Genomic DNA, 2,861 nt, shown 5'->3' with positions numbered 1-2,861 from the left:
GGTCCAAGGCTCTGAGGGGCACACTCTGGGAAGTCAGAATAAAGGACTAATTTGAGTCAGACATACCTGAGTTCAAATCCCAGCTTTGTCATTCATTTGTTGTGCTAAAGATGCTCAGGCAAGTGCAAGCTCAGCTTGGAGCCTAAAGTTTCCTTATCTGGAAAATATGGATACCTAGTGATATTGTTTGGCTGTGTCTCCACCCAATTCTCATTTCAAACTGTATTTCCCATAATCCCCACACGTTGTGGGAAGGACACTGTGGGAGATGATTGACTCATGGGGACGGGTTTTCCCGTGATGTTCTTCTGATAGTGAATAAGTCTCATGAGGTCTGATGGTTTTATAAAAGGAAGTTTCCCTTGCTTGCCTGCTGCTCTCTCTTGCCTGCTGCTATATAAGACGTGCCTTTGCTACTTCTTTGCCATCCACCATGATTGTGAGGCCTCTCCAGCCATGTGGAAATATGAGTCCATTAAACCTCTTTTTGTCTATAAATTACCCAGTCTCAAGTACGTCTTCATTAGCAGCATGAGAATGGATTAACACAGTAAATTGGTACTGGGAGTGGGACACTGCTCTAAAGATACCCAAAAATGTGGAAGCTACTTTGGAACTGAGTAACAGGCAGAGGTTGGAACAGTTTGGAAGACTCAGAAGAAAACAGGAAAATGTGGGAAAGTTTGGAACTTCCTAGAGACTTGTTGAATGGCTTTGGCCAAAATGTTGATAGTGATATGAACAATAACGTCCAGGCTGAGGTGGTTTCAGATGGAGAAGGGAAACTTGTTGGGAACTGCACTAAAGGCCACTGTTGCTATGCCAAGAGACTGGTGGCATATTGCCCCTGCCCAAAAGATCAGTGGAACTTTGAACTTGATACAAATGATTTAGGGTATTTGGCAGAAGAAATTTCTAAGCAGCAAAGCATTCAAGAGGAAGCAGAGCATAAAAGTTTGGAAAATTTGCAGCCTGAAGATGCAAGAGAAAACCCCAATTCCTGGGGAGAAATTCAAGCCAGCTGCAGAAATTTGCATAAGTAACCAGGAGCAGAATGTTAATCACCAAGACAATGGGGAAAATGTCTCCAGGGATCCCCTGCTATGTGCAGCCTTGGGACTTGGTACCCTGCCTCCCAGCCACTCCAGCCTTGACTAAAGCTGGCCAAGTGTTTGCTTCAGAGGGTGCAAGCCCCAAGCCTTCAAAACTTCCACGTGGTGTTGGGACTGTGGTGCACAGGAGACAAGAACTGAGGTTTGGGAACCTCCACCTAGATTTCAGAGGATGTATGGAAACACCAGGATGTCCAGGAAGAGGTCTGCTAAGGGAGCAGAGTCCTCATGGAGAACTTTGCTAGAGAAGTGAAGAAAGGAAATGTGGGGTTGGAGCCCCCACACAGAGCCTCTGCTGGGGCACTGCTTAGTGGAGCTGTGGGAAGAGGGCCACCGTCGTCCAGACCCCAGAATAGTAGATCCAACAACTTGCACTGTGCACCTGGAAAAGCCACAGACACAAAATGCCAGCCCGTGAGGGCAGCCAGGAGCGGGGCTGTACTCTGCAAGCCACAGGGGCAGAGCTGCCTGACGTCATGGGAACACACCTCTTGCAACAGTGTGACCCGCATGTAAGACATGGTGTCAAAGGAGATCATTTTGGAGCTTTAAGATTTGACTGCCCTGCTGGACTTTGGACCTGCATGGGGCCTATAGCCCCTTCATTTTGGCCAATTTCTCTTTTTGGAATGGGTGTATTTACCCAGTGGCAGTACCTCCATTGTATCTAGGAAATAATTAACTTGTTTTTAATTTTACAGGTTTATAGGCATAAGCGACTTGCCTTGTACCAGATGAGACTTTGAACTGTGGACTTCTGAGTTAATGCTGAAATGAGTTAAGGCCTTGAGGGAGTGTTGGGAAGGCATGATTTATTTTGAAATGTGAGGACATGAGATTTAGGAGGGGTCGGGGTGGAATGATATGGTTTGGCTGTGTCCCCACCCAAATCTCATTTTGAAATGTAATTCCCGTAATCCCCACATGTCATGGGAGGGACCCAGTGGGAAGTAATTGAATCATGGGAGTGAATTTTCCCATGCTGTTTCGTGATAGTGAATAAGTCTCACGAGATCTGATGGTTTTACAAAGGGCAGTTTTCCCTGCACACACTCTGTCTCTTGCCTGCCTCCATGTAAGATGTGTCTTTGCTCCTCCTTTGCCTTCTGTCATGATTGTTAGGCTTCCCCAGCCATGTGGAACTGTGAGTCCATTAAACCTCTTTTTCTTTATAAATTACCCAGTGTCAAGTATGTGTTCATTGGCAGCATGAGAATGAACTAATACACCTACCCTATAGAGTCATTGTGAGGATGGAAATGAGACTCAATATGCCATGGGGAGGACACACTGTAAGTGTTTGAGGAATGTGTAATTGGCACAGGGAGAGATATAGACATTCATAGAGAGGTGGAGGGAGCTAGAGACAGGTCCAGGGAGCTAAACATGGGCTGGGGGAGCTACTGATGGGCTGCCACAGCTAAAGTACTCCACTCCAGCCTGGACAACACCCCAGCCTGGGCAACAGAGTGAGACTCCATCTTAAAAAAAAAAAAAAAAAAAAAAAACTAGCAATAAAAGAGCCCTGTATCCCTAGACATTTCTCTGTGTATCTCTCTCACACCCTTCTTGAGAAGGACATAAACTCTGTGGACAAAGCAGGTGGGGACCCTTAATCTCCTGAGGAATTCTTCTGAACTGCGTTCTTTTTTTTTTTTTTTTTTTGAGATGGAGTCTCGCTCTGTCACCCAGGCTGGAGTGCAATGGAGGCATCTTGGCTCACTGCAACCTCCACCTCCCGGGTTCCAG

At 46.2% G+C, this 2,861-nt stretch overlaps 1 annotated feature.

Annotated features, from left to right (window-relative positions):
* Nucleotides 322-1,185: an enhancer, noted in NCBI's record as "NANOG-H3K27ac-H3K4me1 hESC enhancer chr19:41486817-41487680 (GRCh37/hg19 assembly coordinates)". NCBI's record gives its function as "activates a minimal SCP1, AML or CMV promoter by ChIP-STARR-seq in naive H9 embryonic stem cells {active_cell/tissue: H9 hESC(naive)}" and the evidence as "EXISTENCE:reporter gene assay evidence [ECO:0000049][PMID:30033119]".

Source organism: Homo sapiens, chromosome 19 (genome assembly GCF_000001405.40).
Source record: "Homo sapiens chromosome 19, GRCh38.p14 Primary Assembly".
NCBI classification, from domain to species: Eukaryota; Metazoa; Chordata; class Mammalia; order Primates; family Hominidae; genus Homo; species Homo sapiens.
Note: the sequence above shows the minus strand (reverse complement) of the source record. Positions and strands in the feature narration are given on the sequence as shown.